Raw genomic sequence first — 20,976 nt, 5'->3', positions numbered from 1 at the left:
GTTTTTGTGTATACATTTAATTCAGAGGAAGGGCAGAATTTTTAAGAGGAGTGAAGTTGGAATTAGAAAAAATAAATTCTTTTTTTAGTTTATTGCTCTGAACCTTAAATTTCAAGCTAGGGTAGTAAAGACCTGTGTGTAAATGAATGCCCAGCTTAAATGCTGCCTCCTCCAAAAGTCTTCTTAGATTTCTTAGTCATATTTAAACACTTCCTCCTGTGTTTTCGCCCTGTATTTTGACACCTCAGCATACCTTTTGTCATTGGATTTGCTTTATTATATCCTATATATGTAGTTTAAAAGTTTTTTGTTTGTTTTTTTTTTTTGCTTTACTACTTGCAGGGATTAGGAGTCCACTATTTAATAGAGAACCCCATTTCATTTACCCCACTTTATAAAAGGTTAGAAAAGTACTCTCCATATTAAGTTTATGGCTTCATGTAACTTTCACCTGATGGTCCTTTAGAGAAACATATAAATAGTCTTCAAACATTTTTTTTTTGGTGTGTTTGGGCTTAGCACAGTGCCCTGATGAATCTGAGGTACCATCTCTTTCTTCAGTAACTTAAATATCCTTTTTAAAGTACAGCTGAGAATTGTATATTGAGTGAATGACTGATAGTATTGCAAAGAAATGCAGATATAATAGCACATGATCCATCAATGTTTATCTTTTATGTTAATCGTCATCTACAAAACCAGATTGTATTGATTATTATCCATAAATAAACAAGCAGAGGCCGGGCGCAGTGGCTCACACCTGTAATCCCAGCACTTCAGGAGGCTGAGGAAGGCGGATCACAAGGTCAGGAGATCGAGACCATCCTGGCTAACATGTTGAAACCCCGTCTTTACTAAAAAATACAAAAAAAGAAAAAGAATTAGCCAGGCGTGGTGGTGGGTGCCTGTAGTCCCAGCTACTCAGGAGGCTGAGGCAGGAGAATGGTGTGAACCCAGGAGGCAGAGCTTGCAGTGAGCTGAGATCATGCCACTGCACTCCAGCCTGGGCGACAGAGCGAGACTCCGTCTTAAAAAGAAAAAAAAGAACAAAAGCAGAATAAACTAATTTACTGTTGGATGAAGTAGGCAGCAAATCATGAGATGGAAATTGAACAGAAACAAAAAATATCTTCCTAACTGCCCATGTCATTACTTTGGGTTAAAGCAGTCAAATCCACTGTAAAAATTTAAGTGTTCTTTGGGTGTAGTGACACAGGGAACCAGAATCACTTGTAAGAAGTCCTGTGATTAATTAAAAAACAAGAAAGAGCTAGGAAAGAAATTTTGATTTTAGTCAGAGTTTTGTGTGTATATATGTGTGCATGTGTGTGTGTATATGCATGTGCTGTGTATAAAATGGGTCATGATGTTTTTCTTACTGAGTTTCTAAAATGTTTGAAAGCCACTGATTTAGGCCTCTGCTTCTCAAGAAGGCATGCATCTATTACAGGCCTTATTGGGTAAATTTTCTTCAACTATTAATTTTACTTCAACATTTTAGCAGAAACAAACCAGAAAAACAAACATATAAACATACAAACCACACATTAGTTTTATAACAAATACAATCACAAAGGTAGCATATAGAAGATAAATAAAATTCACAAATTTTAAGGAAAAAAATTAGCTGGGCATGCTGGTGGGTGCCTGTAATCCCAGCTACTCAGGAGGCTGAGGCAGGAGAATTGCTTGAACCCAGGAGGCGGAAGTTGCAGTGAGCCAAGATCACACCATTGGACTCCAGCCTGGGGGACAGAGTGAGACTCTGACTCAAAAAAAAAAAAAAAAAAAAAAAAGGGTAATAATTTAAAGGTAAAACACAAAATATTAAAGCAAAAACTTTGCCTCTGTGGGCAGGCCTGCAGGCAGACCCTCCAGGGATTTTAACTTTCTCTGCAGTTACCTTAGTGAAAAATTTGGGAAGTACTGGTCATTTAGTGGAATTTCAAAATTCCACTAATGGATGATACAAATGAAAAGCATGATACAAATGAAAATGAAAATTTTTTGTGTTAAATTTTTTTTGATGTGCTGTTTTAGTTCCTCTGTTGATTTTTAAGCTATGTATTAAATTGTTTTTGCAGTTTCTGGAGGGATTACATCTTTTATTTAGTACAGTCTGTTTCAGATTAGTATTCATCTGACTCCAGTAAAATACAGCAACTTTGCTCTTATATAATTCCATTCTTCCTTCCCCATTTATGTTATTATTGTCATATTGAGGCAGGAAATTAAAGAAAGAAAGAAAAAAAAAAAGGGAATAAGCTTTCCTGTGCTAGGCTGACTTGTCCCAGAGGCAGCAACAAGCACAGCTGAAACCCAGGAAAAGTCTTGATAATACTATCTAAGAAGCCAGGACACAGAAGAATGTGCTCTGGAGACTCTCCCACCACTCCCTCCACATAGGGAGAAGAAAAACAAATTTCTCTTTGTTTTACAGTATGAGTTTATAGATTCCTGTTCCCTGTAACTAGTGACTTCTAGTATTCTGTTTTATCTAAGCAGTGGAGTGATGGTCATAAAGCAACTGAGCAGGCCTGAGATACGGCCACCTGGGCACCATAGTGAAGGCCATGGAATAAGCCTTGCTAGGCACTACGGCAAACTAGATAATGGCCATCTGAGTTGCATAGCAATGGTCATGTGTAATCCTGAGTTATGAACCTGTTACAATTTGATTAACCGTCTTGTCTTGCCTCTGTATCCTTGCTTTTGCTTTGCGCCAGTGTAAGCTTGACTCAAGTTAGCCCATCCCCTTTTAGAAGTGTGTATAAGCGTCAAGTGCTGTCTTTGTTCTTGGCTCAGTTTTTGGATGTTGAGTCTGCTGGGTCTGAGTGCACTCAGAAAAGATCCTCCTGGTTTACCCCGAGGTCTCTCTTGTCCTCCTAATTCACACGACAGTATAAGTTACATCTGTATGTACTATAAATCTAACAAATAGTATTATAATTATTGCTTTAAGAACTCTTATGTTTTAAAAAGGAATAGAAGAAAAGAGAAAAAACCAGTCTTTTGTGTTTACCTTCCTACTTACTGTTTCCAGTGTTCTTCATTCTTTCCTGTGAATTCAAGTTACCATCCAGTGTAATTTCCTTTTGGCCCAAAGGATTTTCTTTAGTCTTTCTCAGACAGCTCTGCCAGTAATTAATTCTCTCAGTTTTTGTTTATCTAGGAATGTCTTATTCTGCCTCTATTTTTGAAAGGGTTTTGCTGAATATGAAATTCTTAGTTGACATATGTATTTTTTTTCCTTTCAGCATGTTCAATGTTATTCTTCTGCCTTGTGGCCTCCATTGTTTCTGATGAGAAGTCATCATTCATTCTATTTTTGTATTTCCCTTTTTATAATAAGTTATTTTTCTCTTTCAGCAGTTTGACTCTGATGTGTAAAAATGTAGATTTCTTTTCTTTTTTTTTTGAGATAGAGTCTCGCTCTGTCACCAGGCTGAAGTGCAGTGACATGATCTTGGCTCACTGCAGCCTCTGCCTCCCGGGTTCAAGCAATTCTCCTGCCTCAGCCTCCCAAGTAGCTAGGACTACAGGTGTGCACTGCTACGCTTGGCTAATTTTTTTGTATTTTTAGTAGAGATGGGGTTTCACCATGTGGGCTAGGATGGTCTTGATTTCCTGACCTCGTGATCCACCCGCCGTGGCTTCCCAAAGTGCTGGGATTACAGGCATGAGCCACCGTGCCTGGCATGTGTAGATTTCTTTAGTTTTATCCTATATGGGATTTATTGAGCTTCTTGGGTCTGTAGATTAATTTTTTCATCAACTATAGGAGGTTCTCAGCCATTATTTTTCAAAAAAAATTTTTTTCCTGCCACATTGTCTCTCTTCTCCTTCTAGGACTCTTATTCCATGTATAGTATATTGGTATTCTTGATATTGTCCCACAAGTCACTTAGGCTGTGTTCATTTTTCTTCAGTCTTTTTTTTCTTTTTTCACGTTGGATAATTTCTGTAGATCTGTCTTTAAGTACACTGCCTTTTTTCTTCCATCATCTCAAACCCATTGTTGAATCCATGTAGTGCATTTTTTATTTCAGTAGTTGTACTTTTCTTTTTTTTTTAAAAAAGGAGTTTCACTGTTGTCGCCCAGGCTGGAGTGCAATGGTGCAATCTCAGCTCACTGCAACCTCTGGTCCCTGGGTTCAAGTGATTCTCCTGCCTCAGCCTCTTGAGTAGCTGGGACTACAGGCACGTGCCACCACACCCAGCTAATTTTTGTATTTTTAGTAGAGATGGAGTTTCACCATGTTGGCCAGGATGGTCTCGATCTCTTGACCTCGTGATCCACCTGCCTTGGCTTCCCAAAGTGCTGGGATTATAGGCATGAGTCATTGTGCCCTGCCAGTTGTTGAACTTTTCAACTGTAGAGTTTGATACTTATTGAAAGTTTCAGTTTCTTCATTGATATTCTTTATTTGTTGAGTCATTGGTGTCATATATTCATTTAATTCTAGGAACATTTGTTTCCTTTACTTTTTTTTTTTTTTTTTTGGGATGGAGTCTCACACTGTCACCTAGGCTGGAGTGCAGTGGCATGATCTTGGCTCACTGCAAGCTCTGCCTTCTGGGTTTACACCATTCTCCTGCCTCAGCCTCCTGAGTAGCTGGGACTACAGGTGCCTGCCACCACGCCCGGCTAATTTTTTTTTGTATTTTTAGTGGAGACCGGGTTTCACCATGTTAGCCAGGATGGTCTCGATCTCCTGACCTTGTGATCTGCCCACCTCGGCCTCCCAAAGTGCTGGGATTACAGGCATGAGCCATTGCGCCTGGCCTACTTTAGTTTTTTTGAACAGAATTTTCTTTAATTCTTGGCTCATATTCATAATGGCTGCTTTGATGTCTTTGCTAAATTGAATATCTTGGCCCACTTAGACTTCATTTTCCTTGACTGATTTCCCCCACCTTGATTATAGGTCACTTTCTTGTTTCTTTGCATATCCTATATTTTTTTTGTTGTTGAAATCTTTTTGATAATATCTTGTAGTATCTCTGGATTCTGATTTACTTTTTGAAGTGTTTGTTTGTTTTTTGGTAACTAGCTTGCTCTTAGCCAGTTAGCACATATCTCCCTATGATATGTGTCTATAGATATCTCTGCTCAATTTTTGTGTGCTTATTTATTTTTTGGCCTGGCTTCCTAGGTGCTGCTCCTATGTCCATATAGCTTAGTGGTGAGCCAATGATTGTTTCTTCAAATATTCAAATCTTTTGCCCAATTTTAATTACATTGCCTTTTTACTGTTGTGTTATCTAAGTTTTTTATGTGTTCTGGATAATAAGTTCCTTGTCAGATATGTGATTTGCAAATATTTCTCCCATTGTGTTTTTTCACTCTCTTGATGGTGAACTTTGAAGCAAAGTTTTTGATTTTGATGGAGTCCTATGTAATAATTTTTTGCTACTTGTGCTTTTGGTATCATAGCTAAGAAACCATTGCCTAATCCAAGGTCATGAAGATTTATGCCTCCGTTTTTTTCTAAGAGTTTTATTGTTTTAGCTCTTACATTTAGGTCTTTGATGTATTTTGAGTGAATTGTTGTAAATGGTATAAGTTGGGGCCAACTTATTCTTTTGTATATGGATATTTGGTTGTCCCAGCACTGTCTTTAAAAAGATGATTCTTTCCGTATTGCATTGTCTTGGCATTGTGTCTTCTCTGTTTTTGAAGGACAGCTTTGCTGGAGATAGAATTCTTGGCTGGCAGTGTTTTTCATTCAGCACTTTGAATGTGTTATTTTCACTGCCTTCTGGCCTCCAGGTTGCCATTGACAATTCAGCTGTTAATCTTATGAGGATCTGAGGATCTCTAGTGATTTTTTTTTTTTTTTGTCGCTTTTGTTGCGGGAAGTCAGGGACCCTGAACGGAGGGACCGGCTGAAGCCATGGCAGAAGAACATAAATTGTGAAGATTTCATGGACATTTATTAGTTCTCGAAATTAATACTTTTATAATTTCTTACACCTGTCTTTACTGCAGTCTCTGAACATAAACTGTGAAGATTTCATGGACATTTGTCACTTCCCCAATCAATACTCTTGTGATTTCCTATGCCTGTCTTTATTTTAATCTCTTAATCCCATCATCTTTGTAAGCTGGGGATGTGTGTCGCCTCAGGACCCTGTGATGATTGCGTTAACTGCACAAATTGTTCGTAAAGCATGTGTGTTTAAACAATATGAAATCTGGGCACCTTGAAAAAAGAACAGGATAACAGCGATGTTCAGGGAACAAGGGAGATAACCATCAGGTCTGACTGCCTGAGAGCCGGGCAGAACAGAGCCATATTTCTCCTCTTACAAAAGCGAATAGGAGAAATATCGCTGAATTCTTTTTTTCAGCAAGGAACAGCCCTGAGATAGCCTTCTAGATTCCCTGGAATATGTCGGAGCTTTTCAAAGGCTCCTCAGGACATCTTCTTCCCCAGTTTTTCCTTTTAAGTTTTTTGGTCAGCCTCTTGTTAGCACTAACTGGATTCCTGCCCCAGACAGCTGTGATATTAAACAATTGCCATTGATTTTTAAAATAAATGTCCTAGGGCTAGGGCTTTTTGCATGGAGAGAGCTATGAGTCAGATCAAGTAAAGATAAGACCTGACAATGCACCTTTTCAGGGAACTGCCAGACAAATTAATTAGTGACAGTTTTCTGGGATGGAGCTTTTGTTGAGCTCCAAACCTGTTCTGCCCCTCCATTGGCTGCCAGGCTGTTGGTGGTTGTCACAGCTATTTTAGTTGTAAGGCTGTTGATTTTCAAGTCTACCATGAAGCTGGGGAGAGGGGGATGGGAATGGGGCAAGTTGAAAAGGCACAAAGCTCACTGTTCTTACAGAGAATAAACATTTAGATTGGTGTAAGCCTTTGACTAATTTCTAGAGTTTTGAAAAGTTGATTTTGACCATTTTTCCCAATGTTCTTGCTGGTTTTATTAAGGAGCAGATTTTTAGTTTTCTACTCTGCCATTCTAGAAGTGATTCTGAGCCAGTGATTTAGATAGTAGTTGTTTTCAAACACTGGAATGCATGAAGCTCCACTGATTGATCTGTCTGTGAGTTGCAGAGTGCATTCAAGTTTTAGCACTTCTCTAGTTGTCCTTGGCTGTTACTCTCTGCCAAGCTCTCTCAGATCTTCCCTGCATATCCCTATAGTTTCTAGTCAGCCAGGTATGTAGGAAGAGTTTATCTCAGCCCTTCTATGGACCTCTTATTTTAGTATAGCCACATTACATTCCCATTATGCTCTTACACCAACTGGGATTACAACCTTGGCAAGTAAAGCTGTAATTTTTCCTGTAATATTCCTATGTTTAGCTCACAAAGCCCCCTACCACAAGTTAAGTCTGCCCCTTCTGGCAGCAGAGCTGCTGTTTTTTCCAGCCAGCCCCATATTGGTAAAACTGCCATTCTTGAGGACTGAGCTGGGGGCCTGGGAACCTCACCAGGTAAGAGGACCAGAGACTTCTGCTGTTCCTACTCAGTCTTTGGTCAGCTTCCAAATCCCTGAAATGGCTGGCTTTGGATGATTTTGTTTGATATACAGTATTTTTTTTTTCAGAGAGGATTTTCACTGATTTCTTACCATCATTGCAAAAGGGAATGTTCAGGAGAGGAAATTTCTGATTTTTCAGGGATGTGGTATGTGGGAGAGATGCATAATGTAATAACAGTCCAAATTTCTTGAGTACTTACTACCTGCCAGAAACTGTGCTAAGCAATTATTTTGCATTGCTTCATTTGATTCTTTCCATACCCTGCAGAGGCATGGGTGCTATTAATATCCTGCTCCTCTATTTTATAGATCAGAAAAAAGGCTCAGATGAAGTACCTTATCGATGGTCACACAACTCATGAGTGGCAGAAATAATATTAAGACCCAGGTCCCTTTGGCTGTTAAGACCCCAGCCCTAAACCACTACATCATATATCTATAGCTGGAGCCTGGCACCAGGAGGCGTCACAATGGGATTGAGATAGGGATACAGAAAGAAGGATGGGGACTGAAAGGTGAAGGGTCCTGAAGCCCTGAGCTTCCTCTTTTGCTGTTCTCACTCTGTTTCCTGGAGGTTTTACTGAGTGCCCTGTGGTGTTGACTGCGTCCTACTTGCAAGCCCTGTGGTCTCCCTAATGGTCAGCTAGGCTGGGCCTCTAAGGTCTTTCAGAAGTGCACAGCCCTATGGTGAAAAGGCATCCTTTCTCATGAGGTAACAGACCAGCAGGACTTGCTTTTTGGTCACGACACTGCTGACCAAAACAGGATGTGGTCCAGACAGGATAAAATGGAGAAACCGGCAGAAACCAGCAGACGATGACAAAAGTGATCCCTGGCTGCTGTCATTGCTCATTGGCATAAGAAACTCCTACCAGCACCATGACGATTTACAAATGCCATGGCAATGACCTGGAAGTTACTACCCCTTTCCATGGCAACAACCTGGAAATTACGATCCTTTTGTAGAAAGTTCTAAATAACCTCAATTTGCATTGACCTGCCCCTTAATTTACATATAGCCAAATGTGGGTTTACCTGAATGTTAAATACAGTTGCCAGGAGCCCCTGCCTTGCTGACTCTGGGCTACTGCCTGAGCGCTAGCCCTACTCTGCAAGGAGCAGTACTGTTCAGTCAAAGGCTCACTCCTGAATTCTTTCCCGGCAAAGCCAAAAACCCTCCTGGGCATAACCCCAGTTTTGGGGCTCACCTGTCCTGCATCACTCACATGACATTTCCCTATTTAAACACCCATGATCCCTGAGCCCTACAAGACCAGAAGGTCATAGGGCTCCACAGTGTTACCTGGTAATGTTACAGAATTAGATCAGAGAAAATGGGATTTCTTCATTGTAGTGTGCTTAATGATCTCTGTAAAGAGTATAGCATAAAAAAGCTTCATTAGTTTGAAGACTTATTTTGATTGAACTGCAGGATTTCTGTTTGGGCCTCGTGTATTCTATTAAAATGAAATAAAGTAGCTATACTTAAATTTTTTTTTTTTTTTTTTTTTTTTTGAGACGGAGTCTTGCTCTGTCGCCAGGCTGGAGTGCAGTGGTGTTATCTCAGCTCAGTGCAACCTCCACCTCCTGGGTTCAAGCGATTCTCCTGCCTCAGCACCCCTAGTAGCTGGGATTACAGGTGGCCACCACCATGCCCGGCTAATTTTTGTATTTTTTCGGTAGAGATGGGGTTTCACCATGTTGGCCAGGATGGTTTCAATCTCCCGACCTCGTGATCCATGCCTCGGCCTCCCAAAGTGCTGAGATTACAGGCATTAGCCACCGTGCCCGGCCTATGTAAAAAATTTTAATTTTAATAGCATTTGAAGTCAGCATTTAATTTTCTTCTTTTCTTTTTGTTTAAGCATTTCAAATTGTCACTTCAAACATTATACAGAGTTTCCTTGGTAGTACTTAAAAGTACTATTTTTCTAGTAATCACCTTTAAGTTTGGCATTAATTTTTTTTGTCTGAGAATATTTGTATAATTTTTTTATTCAGCAAAACTGCAAATGAATCGTTAATTATAAAAGAGGTAATGAAAGAAGATAAAGTGGAAATTGAACACTAAAAAAAAAAAAAATCCCTTTGTCTTGAATTCTCCCCTCATCAATTTTCTGTGGGGCATCCCTCTGTAAATAGCTTATGATTGAATTTTTGATATTTGTACCCAACTGGTAGTCTTTTAGTTAGGCTGTTCAGTCTGTCCTCTTTTTTTGGGAATAATGCATGTGTCTGGCCTTCTTTCTGTTACCTTTGTCATCATGTTTTTGGGAGACAATTTTTTTTGTCATTTCCTTTTCTTTGTGTCCTTTTTTCCCTCTAGTACTTCATAATTATGCATTCATTTCTACTATTGGTTACATTAAAATATTTTTAGCCTCAAATTCTCACTAGCATTATAAATATAGTATTTATTGACCTTACCCCTGTGAAAGACAAGAAATTAAATGTGCCTTTTCTTTTCTTTTTTTTTGAGACAGAGTCTCACTCTGTTGCCTAGGCTGGAGTCGAATGGAGCAATCTTGGCTCACTGCAACTTCCACCTCCCAGGTTCAAGTAATTCTCCTGCTTCAGCCTCCCCAGTAGCTGGGATTACAGTCATGTGCCACCACGCCCAGCTAATTTTTTGTATTTTTAGTAGAGACAGCTTTCACCATGTTGACCAGGCTGGTCTCGACCTCCTCAGTTCAGGTGATCTGCCTGCTTTGGCCTCCCAAAGTGCTGGGAATACAAGCATGAGCCACCACGCCCGGCCAATGTGCTTTTTCTTTCTAGCTTTTGTCAACATAAACTGGTGTTTAAAATTAATAGTAGTTTAAAGATGTGTATATTCTTTAAAGAATTTTTTTCATTGACATTCGATTATTTTCTTACTATATTATAGAGTATAGAGAAGAGTCATTTAAACTGAACTGTAAATTTTCCTGGGTTCATGATTCCTTGTTCCTACTGTTATAGCATATCTTCTTTATTCTTGATTTATGTATTTTGATGAATTTCTTGGTCAGATGGAATATTCCTTTAAGTAGTTTTTTTCAGCATGGTCCGTGAGTGGTATGTTTTCAGAATGCTTTTATTTTTGAGGCTGTCTTTGTACACATCAGTGAATTCTTGAATAGGATAGAATTCTAGGGTCACAGTTTTTTGTTTTTGTTTCTTTTGTCCACCCAGAATTCTAGCCCAGGATTTGGCAATTATTTTCTGTCAAGTGCTAGATAGTAAATATTTTAGGCTTTTCAGGCCATGGAATCTTTGACAGCAGCTCGATTGTGCCACTGCAATATGAAAGAAACCATAGACGGTACCAAAACAGACAGTGTTCCAATACAACTCTATTTACAAAAACAGGCAACAGACCAGATTTAGTCTTAGGGCTATAGTTTGTGACCTGTGTTCTAGACAACTAGTCTGTTGTCTTGTGGTGATTAGTATTGTAGGTGAGGTCTGATGTCATTCATGTTTTCCTTTGTAAGAAACTTGTTTTTTCATTGCTTGACTTCTTTTAGGAATTTTTGTTATTTTTGATTTCCAAATTTAATATTCATTAATTTTGTGAATTAATTGGTATTTAGTCATCTCTTTCATCCTAAAGTTTCATGTCCTTTTTAACTCCAGGGAACTATTTTCAACTATCTTTTTTGATAATCCCTTCTTTCCTCTGTTTTTGAAATTATTATTATAGTTACTTTGGTTCTTCTGGATCTGTAATATATTTCTCTCATCTTTTTATCCCCATCACTTTCAAAATCATTTGGGTTTATAACCGAAGTTCCCTATCTTGTCTATTTTATTGATTTGGGTTCTTCTTCTGTCTATCCTGTTATTCCTTTGCCATCATTAACATTTTAAAATTATTAATCTTTTAAAAAAATCTGTTAAGTGAGCCAGGCATGGTGGCTCATGCCTGTTATCCCAGCACTTTTGGAGGCCGAGGTGGGAGGATCATTTGAGCCCAGGAATTTAAGACTAGCCTGGGAAACGTAATGAGACCCCATCTCTACAAAATATTTAAAATTAGCTGGCTGTGTTGGCATACAACTGTAGTCTTAGCTGCTTGGGAGGCTGAGGTGAGAGGATTGCCTGAGCCCAGGAGGTCTAGGTTGCAGAGAGCTATGCTTGCACTCCCACCTGGGCAACAGAGCAAGACTGTGTCTCAAAAAAATAAAACAAAAACCTCTAAGCAATTGTTACAAATCTCAGATTATTCTTTTGTATGACTGTGTTTTCTAATTTTATATTATAGATGCAGCATATTCTCAAATATCATTGTTAAAAGCTTTGTCCTGAAATATGTCTATTTTAATGGGAAATATTTGCACTGATTCTTCAGACTGGTCCTTCTCCCCATCTTTATTGTGAGAGATATAGAATTTAACTTTTAAAATAGTAATTAAATACCACAACAAAGTAAGGATACTTGTGGAGTTGTTTTCTCTTTAAGTAAGTACAATGACTAAAAATACTTCATTTGCCAAGAGTCTGCTTTCGTTCCTTTTGTATATTTTATTAAATGCTGGTGGCATAAATACATACTTACTTTTATTCCTTATGACCTGATGTAGTCACAGTACCCCAAAGTACTGTATGTATTATCAAATAAGCTACCAACACTCACCGTTTTTTCATTTTTCATGAAAAGGTTTACATTAAAAAAAAATGCACCTAGTGTATAGTCAGAGTTCTCAGAACCAATAAGTTTTATGTTTGTGTGTGTGCGTGTACATCTATATTTACATCTATATCTATACTTTTAGGAGCTTTATTATAATGAATTTGCTCATGTGATTGTGGAGGCCTAGAAGTCTCAAAGTCTGCTGTCTGTAAGCTAGAGACCCAGGAAAGGTAGTGGTGTTTACTCAAAGTCCGAAGGACTGAGAACCAGGGGAGCCTATGGTGTAAATTCTAGTCCTTGTGCAGGAAATGTGATGAGATGGCCTAGCTCATGCAGTTAGGCAAGAAAGAAGGGACAAATTCCTTCTTCTGCCTTTTATTCTATTCAGGCCACCTGCATTGAGATGGGCTGTCCACTTTACTGAGTCCACTCATTCAATTGTTAATCTCATCCTAAAACACTCTCATAGACACACATAGAAATAATATTTGGTCTGGGCACCTGTTGGCCCAATTAAGTTGATGCATAAAATTAACCATCACACCAAGAAATACCTCTCCTTTCCCCAAACCCTTCATAGTACGTGCTATATTTCTCTTTGAATCTAAGAAGATTATCTTCTATGAGGAAATAATCTGCTCCACACAGAAACCTGATACAGAGCTCTTTCAATAATGACTCATTCTCAACATCATGAAATTATATTCGAAGTTGCAGAAAATTCACTATTGTATATTGAATGCTACATTGAAATTGGAAAGAAAAAGGTGATATAAAATAAAAGCTATTACATATTTTGTGCTTCTCCCTAATCTGCTTTATTCATTGGAAATTCCTACTTAAGTTTAGTCTGCTTAAAACAAGCTAGATACTTGATTTTGCATGCAACACCTTGGCTGTTACTTTTACTGTCTCCTAGCACTGTGCTACAGACTGCAAAATATTTAGAGAAAATTCAGACCTCGCTCAAAATAAAAAATAAAAAATGCTAGCATGGTCTATACCAACGTTGGATTGCTGGGCTCACTCTCACGTGTGTGATCTCTCTCATTCTCTCGCTCGTGCTCTCTCTCTCTCACACACACACTCCACTCAAAGCTACAGTGTGCATTCTTCTATGATCCCAGTAGATTGTAGGTCTCTGTATTGACTGGAGATACTCTTCCAAGTTGAAGATTTAAAAAAGAACTTTAGATTTTTAGTGCTGATTCTTCATCTTTATATTTAGAAAATTGTCATTTTTAGATTCCTGATAGAAACTTTCTCTAAAACATTATCTTAGTACATTAATTAGAAATTTATGTCCCACATATACTAGCTCTAGTAATTTACTGGTGACTAAGGCATTGTTAAGAAATGTGTTTGGAAAACTTCTGTTGGTTTTTTTTTTTTATGACCATCATTACATTTTTTTCTATTTTTTCATTTATCTACGTTTAAAAATGTTTGGAAATATTTCAGAATTTGATAGTTATAACAAGCTACAAGAGAATAAAGATTTAGCTGGATTACAGAAAAATATCTACTTAGTAATGAGTGAAAATGAGATAAATTTGTCATATGTGACATATGGTAATATACATACAGAGGCCTAAAGAAAACTTCAATGTCCCCCCCTTTTTTTTTTTTTTGCTACGTAATCTTATTTCCTTAGAAAGAGCATATTGATTTTACTCCACTGAGAGTTTGGCTTTCTAAAATCACCTCAACAGTTAATTGATGGTGATAATCAACCAAGAATTGTTCTTCATTTATATAATTTGCTAACTTTCAAGTTCCCATTGAGTTGAGAAAGATAGTGATGATAGCTCTGACAATATACCTGAACCAGTTTGGATAGGAATGTTTAAAAGATGTATTAGGCTATTTTTATCCTGTAGAAACTATAGTTCATAGGAGTGGTGAGTTAGGGGAGGCTGGAGAATGGGGGAAAATGGGAAGTAAGATAAATTGTTGGTGTATGTGGTTTTGCAGATTTGCTTTTTTGGCACTAAAAGAGTACTTTTTTTTTTTCTTTTCTTTTTGAGACAGAGTCTCACTCTGCTGTCCAGGCTGGAGTGCAGTGGCATGCCCAGGCTGGAGTGCAATGGCACGATCTCAGCTCACTGCAGCCTCTGCCTCCCGGATTCAAGCGATTCTCCTGTCTCAGCCTCCCAACTAACTGGGACTACAGGTGCCTGCCACCACCATGCCCAGCTAACTTTTTTGTGTTTTTGGTAGAGGTGGGGTTTCTTCATGTTGGTCGGTCTGGTCTGGAACTCCTGACCTCAGGTGATCCACCCACCTTGGCCTCCCAAAGTGCTGGGATTACAGGTGTGAGCCACCGTGCCTGGCCAATCACTAGCAGTTCTTAAGAAAAAAATGTTTTGGAAGGTCGTGTGTTTGCCCTCGTGTTCTGTGTATGCACGTGCACTGAATAGGAGGCAGTCCCAGGGTCTCGCCTGCTGAAGAGATCCTGCACACCTACTGTCTGCTTGGCTGTCATCCTACTGTATTGTAGAAGCATCCACATCAGCTCCCTTTTTATTTGGGGGTTGTGCCCAGATCCTAACTCTCAACAAGATGTTTTTCATTATGCTTTATCCAGGACACTCTTTCTCACTGCTGTTTTCAAATGCCTTTGGGTTACTTCTGGGAAGTATAGATTCAAACTCTTCCATCAGGTAACTGTTTTCACCAAATAATGTACAGGTAAATATTTGGAAGACATAAGAGAAAATCAAGGGGAAAACTTAGGAAAGAAGGAAACCGTTGAACTCAAATAGTTATCTTCTGGACCCATGATCAGGTCCTCTGAGGGAAAAAACACAGATCCTTTTATTCATGAGAACTGGACATATTCCTGCTGCTGGATTTGTTCTTAGCCATTAGCCTCTCGAATGCCACCATCGCTGTCACAGAGACCAAAAAAAAACAAAAAGCTGCTCCTGTTCCTCCTCCTTAAAAAAAAAAAAAAACTTATAAAATTTCAAACTGCAGTGACTGTTTTCTCTCTTCCCTCACCTTAAAGAGGTTTAGGTTTGCCTGCTATTGGTAGTTCTGATGGGCTCTGTTAGAGATTGTGTGGTTGGTGTTCAGGCCCAGATGAAGAAAGAAGGGAATAGTTTAAATTTGCTACATTTTGTTTTGCTTGAGAAAGATGCAGTAAACTGAGGGGAGAAGGGAATAAGCGATTATTGTAGGCACCTGCCGGAGGGAGCTTTGCCACTGTATGAAGGATTTATTTTCTCCATGGTTGGTTTTTGTCAGCATAGCCCAGTATTTGCAGGGGCAGAAGATCCAAACATGGAGCCTTTGTTAGGATTCATGGCCATACCCACATTTTGCCTAGCACACTGCTGAGGGTAAGCAGGGATGAGGGCTGAGGTGGTCTTCCTCGTTAAATCAGCTTTGCACTAGGTGTCTGAGGCCCAAGAAGGGTCAAGATTTGCTTTTTAGCAACTTGCTGCCCAGAGACCCATCGTTACGATACGTATACCTGCTCCTCCTGGCTGGGGGCTTGACTGCAGTTCCACACTGGTTTCCTTCCGGCTCTTCCCAAGGCAGCCATTTCTTTAACATGTATTTCATTATCAAATTCCCTTTTTCCTAAATTATATCTTGCAGAAATACCTCGAAGTTTCCGACTTAGATATGGCATTCTTTCCTGGTTTCTAATCATAATAGACATTTTTCCCAAGTTTGTTTTCCTTTGTTCATTTCACTGGAAATGAAAGTAGAAAGTCAAATATTTGTGCTAAGGTCTTTATCTTGAATTTTAAGACTTATATTTAAATAATGACAGTTTTACAAGTTCAGGTACATTTCCACTTCGTTTTCTTGTAATAGAAATTGTGTATCTTTATGGATCAAGGTTTTCTTTGTAAAAACAGTGGGAGTTACATTATTGATAACATTTTGAATTTAACCTTTTGAATCTGCAAAAGGTTGCTGTAATATTTTGTTTCATTGTGAACCTCTCCCCTGAAACAAAGAGAAAACACATCACAATATTTGGAAGTTTGCCTGGAGTGAACGTTTATTTTTTTGGGGTGTTTTTCTTTTTGACTTTTTAAAAAACAGTTTTTGTTGTTTAAAAAACTGCAAATGCCAGCCATAAAAATATTCTCTATTCCATCTGCCTAAGGCCAAAAAGAAATCAGAATTAGGCAAATGAAAATCAGGAGCTGAGCCCAGTGATCAATTATGTCCACTCTGCCTTTTTCTTTTCCTTTCTAAAGTGTTGTATTTGTTCACTCACTTGTGTAACAAATATTCTGAGAGTCCTACTGTGTGTGACACTGTGCCAAGCAAGGGGGTACTAACTTGTCATAAGCCTGGACCCTGCTTATGAGTCAAGTTTCTTACACTATATTGAAGTAAGCACCAGAAAGCGTGTACAGGTCTATGAAAGCTCAGTTTCTGGACATTTACTCTCAAGGACTTTTTTTTTTTTTTTTTTTTTTTTTTTTTTTTTGTTGAGATGGAGTCTCACTTTGTTGCCCAAGCTGGAGTGCAGTGGCGCAATCTAGGCTTAATGCACCCTCCACCTCCCGGGTTCAAGCGATTCTCCTGCCTCAGCCTCCTGAGTAGCTGGGACTATGGGCGCGTACCACCACACTTGGCTAATTTTTGTATTTTTAGTAGATATGGGGTTTCACCATGTTGGCCAGGCTGGTCTCAAATTCCTGACCTCTGGTATTTCGCCCACCTCAGCCTCCCAGAGTGCTGGGATTACAGGTGTGAGCCACCGTACCTGGCCCCAAGGACTTTTTGTACAGAGACAGTGACATGGGTAAATTATTAGTAGCTACCCTTTGTCTACTAAGTGCTAAGCCTTATGCTAAGTGCTCTTACATATGTAAGCTTATTACTCATCATGACTATGTTATTATCTCATTTTCACAGTTGCAGAAAGTAAGTCTCAGAGCATTATTTATGGGCATGCCACAGTCAAAAGGCAGAGCCAGGTCTTCCTGCCAGGTCTGCTTTCCCCGAAGGCATGCTGTTTGTGGGATGGCACACGGTGCCTTTCCTTACTGCCGTCATGTGCTGTGGAGGCGAGTAAAAGGAGGGCATGCTCAGGTTATCAGTTAGAATCAGATTCGGCTGCATGTAGCAGAAAACTCCAAAGTATCAGTGAAAACTTCAAAATATCAGTGAGATGCTTGGAAAAGAAGTCTGGGAGTTGTATTTATAGTCTGTGGCTGTTGTACAGGCCCCACAGTCATTAGGGACAGATCCTGCCGCATATGCCATATGGTCCTGCCTGGTATCTCAAGCTTCGGCTATCAACTCTGAATTGTAGTCAGCAGGAGGAAAGAGAGGGTGTTGGGAGAAAAAGAGCATCCTTCACCTTGAAAGTCCCATTTGTCAGAACTTAGGCACAAGGTCATACATAACTACCAGGGAAGGTGAGAAATGTGGTGTTGCGGTGGGATTCATGGCCTCCTGAGTAAAGTTTTCTGCTACTAAGGAGAAAGAGAGAATGATGTCCAGATGGGCAACCAGCAGCCTCTGCTGCATTCAGCTCAAGGCAGGTTGTGATTTCAGTTGGTGTCATGGCCTGAGCTGAGGCTGGAGGCCCACGTTGTGAAGGGTATTGTATGTCACACATCTGGGATTTGAACTTTATTTTGTAGGTGCTGGGAGTTAGTTATTGAAAGACTTTAATCATAGGAGTAACATGACTAGTTCTATGTTTGGGAAAGGTTGTTCTGCCAGAAATAAGGAGGACAGGCTGTCCCAAGGGACAGCCAAAGAAACTGGGAGTGGACCATCCCTTGGGAATCTGATGGATTCGAATGGATGAGAAATGATGACCACTTTTAGAAATGGAGAGGATAGAACAAGTTCTGACATATGCAGCATGTAGAGTCTCCAGGCCACTTGAGGCTGTTGAGGGACAGTCTGGCTTTGCCATCTGCATGTCATGCTCTTAACCTAGGCAAAGAATGCAGAAGAGAGAGGAGATGTAGGGGGTTGGGGGACACATAGTGAATCCCGTTTGAGGTGGCTCCAGGACCTCCCAGAAATGCTGGTAGATGGCTAGTTGGATATATAGCTCTGGAGGTCAGGACATAGGAGATATTGATTCAGGACTTGCCAGAGTATGGTCTTGGGGTGTGCCCTGATATTACAAACAGGGATCTTAGTGGCTAGGTGATGAGGCCATGGCAAATGTAGATGGACCAAGATCAATTTGCCTTTCTAGATGAGGTTTTCTAGGTGAAATGTTTTTGAAACTATTTTGTAGCCTAGTATAATTTATAAAAGTAGAGAGAAACTATAAATATAAATTTGGAAGGGGTTAGCTAAAAGGAGAAAACAGCAGAATCTTCATATATATAGAAATGGATATTAATTTGCTAGAATTAAGAGACTGCAGGTAAAGATAGTTTTTTTAATACCTCTTTTTGCTGTAGAAAGGACAGGATAAAATGATAAAGGGATGCTGGAATGAGGAATGGTAACTTTAGGCAAGATAGTCTTCTGTGAGGGCTGATATGATCAATGAGAGTAAGACATTAGAAATACAAGAATTGTCCTGCTGCTCACCCATCAGCATTTTCAGTTTCTCCTTGCAAAAGTAGTAATTAACTTTGTACTTTGAGCTGTATGTTCAGTTAGTGATAAACCGTAGATAAAAAGCAGATTTAATTGGCTGACCCCAGGTAAGACTTGCCTCTCTCATGTACCCTTTGAAGGTTTAACAAATAAAATTTGAGGGAAAGGTTGATGTTACTTATAGGGTGTGTTAGTTAGTTTTTTGGGGGTGGGAAGGAGGCATATTTATGTGCAAGCTGCCAAATATTTGAGATAAGGACATAGTCTTTGAATGAAAAACAGGGATATGAGAGGATTGATTCAGTTAGCCGTCTTGGCCAACCCAAGTTAACTGTACTTCATCTTAGTCTATGTTGGTGTTAGAAACAACAAAAAGGAAAAAAAAAAGCCAAACAGTAGAGCAACAATTCATTCATTCATAAAAGTAATTACATGCCATCTAACTAATCACATGGTAAATAATTTAAATGGTTTAGAAGGGTATGAAAGAAAAAGTCCCACCCCTCTTCTTCCCAGCCTGTTCCCCAGATGTGACCACTGTTAACATACTTGTGTATCCTTCTAGATATATATATTTGTATCCTTTTAAAAAATTTATACAGATAGGATCGGAGTTCACATTTTGTTTTGCATCCTACTTTTTCACTTGTTGATAAACCATAGAACTCTTTTCATAGCAACACATATAGATTTAGCATAGTGTTTTAAGTGGTTACATAGCATTGATGTGCTCTAAGTTATTTAACCAGTCTTCTGTTGATAGCTATTTGGGTTGCTTCTGTTTTTTAGGTATTACAAATAAAAATAAAAAAGAACATCCTGATAGATATTTTTCTGCATAGTTATGCAAGTAAGTCCATGGGATCAACATCTATCCATGAAATGGCTATGAATTCTAAATTTTTATAGGTGTTTCTGTATTGCTTACTAAAAAAGGTTATGCCACTTTACGTACTCATCACCAACACATGAGAGTATGTTGACCTCTCCCTGAGTGAGTGAATGGCCGAAATAACAAATGAACGTGCATTAATGACTACCAGTTGTGTGGTAGCCTCCATGTGATGCCCTGGAAACAAAAAGATAAATAAGGGGCAGTGGTGTCTGGCCATAGGAGTTCACATTTTGTTGGGGAAGACAGGTGTATGGAGGGGGACGATGGATAAGGAGTGGTTAGGATCAAGGTTTTGGTCTTAGGTGGAGTTGAGTCTAGTTACTGACTGCTGCATACTAGCTGAGTGGACATGAGTAAACCCCTTCACCTAAGCCTCTGATCATTTGAAAATGAGGGTAATAATATCTGCTTCACTAGATTGTTTTGAAGATTAAATAGGAAATTTACATAAAGCTTTTAGTACAATGCCAGTGCATATAAGTGCTTGATGATGATGATGACGACGATGACTATTCCACATGAACTAGTGATTTCAGTCCTGGTGCTAAGGATCCCATTGGGATGTGCCCAGAGTGCTCTGGGAACACAAGATGGAGATTTCTCTTTGCCTAAAGTGCATGAGAAGGCTTCAGAAGGGAAGTTGTAATTAAGTCTTTAACTTTGAATAGTGGTTTGCCATGAGGTTGTATCAGAAGGAAACATACCCCTTTTAATAAGTCTCTCAAGAAAGTACACTGTAACCGGAAACCTCATTAATATATTGAAAAAGTTATTCTCAGAAGAAATTCATTGTGGGCATCTGTGTGAATTTTCAACCTTGGAAGTAACTTAATTTTGTCTTATCAGTATTTCTGGTTTTGTTTTGAAGTACTAATCAAAAAAAAAATCCTTAAATTTTAATTTCTCCTTGCTTCTTTGAAAAGTTATAATGGTTAAAATACACTACTTATGAAAATTTCAAAATATATACTAAGCTTTCTAAAATGTTTTTTAACCTTTCTAATTCATCTTTTGTAAAGTGCTGTTCTTTGCCCCATTTCTTTCCGGGAATTTATCTTTCTCTTGGTATTCATTTATTTTTTTCCAGGTTGGTAACAATTCTTTATATATTAAAAGATTAACCATTAGTCTGTCATGTATGCTGCAAATAATTTGTATCCATTTTTTTTTTTTTGAGATGGAGTCTCGCTCTGTTGCCCAGGCTGGAGTGCAGTGGTGCGATCTCTGTTCACTGCAAGCTCTGCCTCCTGGGTTCACGCCATTCTCCTGCCTCAGCCTCCCGAGTAGCTGAGACAACAGGCACCCGACACCACACCCGGCTAATTTTTTGTATTTTTGGTAGAGGCAGGGTTTCACCATGTTAGCCAGGATGGTCTCCATCTCCTGACCTCGTGATTTGCCCACCTCGGCCTCCCAAAGTG

At 39.1% G+C, this 20,976-nt stretch overlaps 2 protein-coding genes across 4 annotated transcripts in view, besides 1 other annotated feature; both read left to right on the top strand.

Annotated features, from left to right (window-relative positions):
- ST20-MTHFS (ST20-MTHFS readthrough) overlaps positions 1-20,976 on the top strand; it is a 79,546-nt gene that overhangs the window by 41,975 nt on the left and 16,595 nt on the right. The gene's annotated exons all lie outside the window — the stretch shown is intronic.
- MTHFS (methenyltetrahydrofolate synthetase) overlaps positions 1-20,976 on the top strand; it is a 53,739-nt gene that overhangs the window by 16,168 nt on the left and 16,595 nt on the right. The window lies entirely within an intron of this gene.
- Positions 6,577-6,871: a silencer, noted in NCBI's record as "tiled region #2833; HepG2 Repressive DNase matched - State 6:EnhF". NCBI's record gives its function as "represses a minimal TATA promoter and a strong SV40 promoter by Sharpr-MPRA in HepG2 cells {active_cell/tissue: HepG2}" and the evidence as "EXISTENCE:reporter gene assay evidence [ECO:0000049][PMID:27701403]".

Source organism: Homo sapiens, chromosome 15 (assembly GCF_000001405.40).
Source record: "Homo sapiens chromosome 15, GRCh38.p14 Primary Assembly".
NCBI classification, from domain to species: domain Eukaryota; kingdom Metazoa; phylum Chordata; class Mammalia; order Primates; family Hominidae; genus Homo; species Homo sapiens.
Note: the sequence above shows the minus strand (reverse complement) of the source record. Positions and strands in the feature narration are given on the sequence as shown.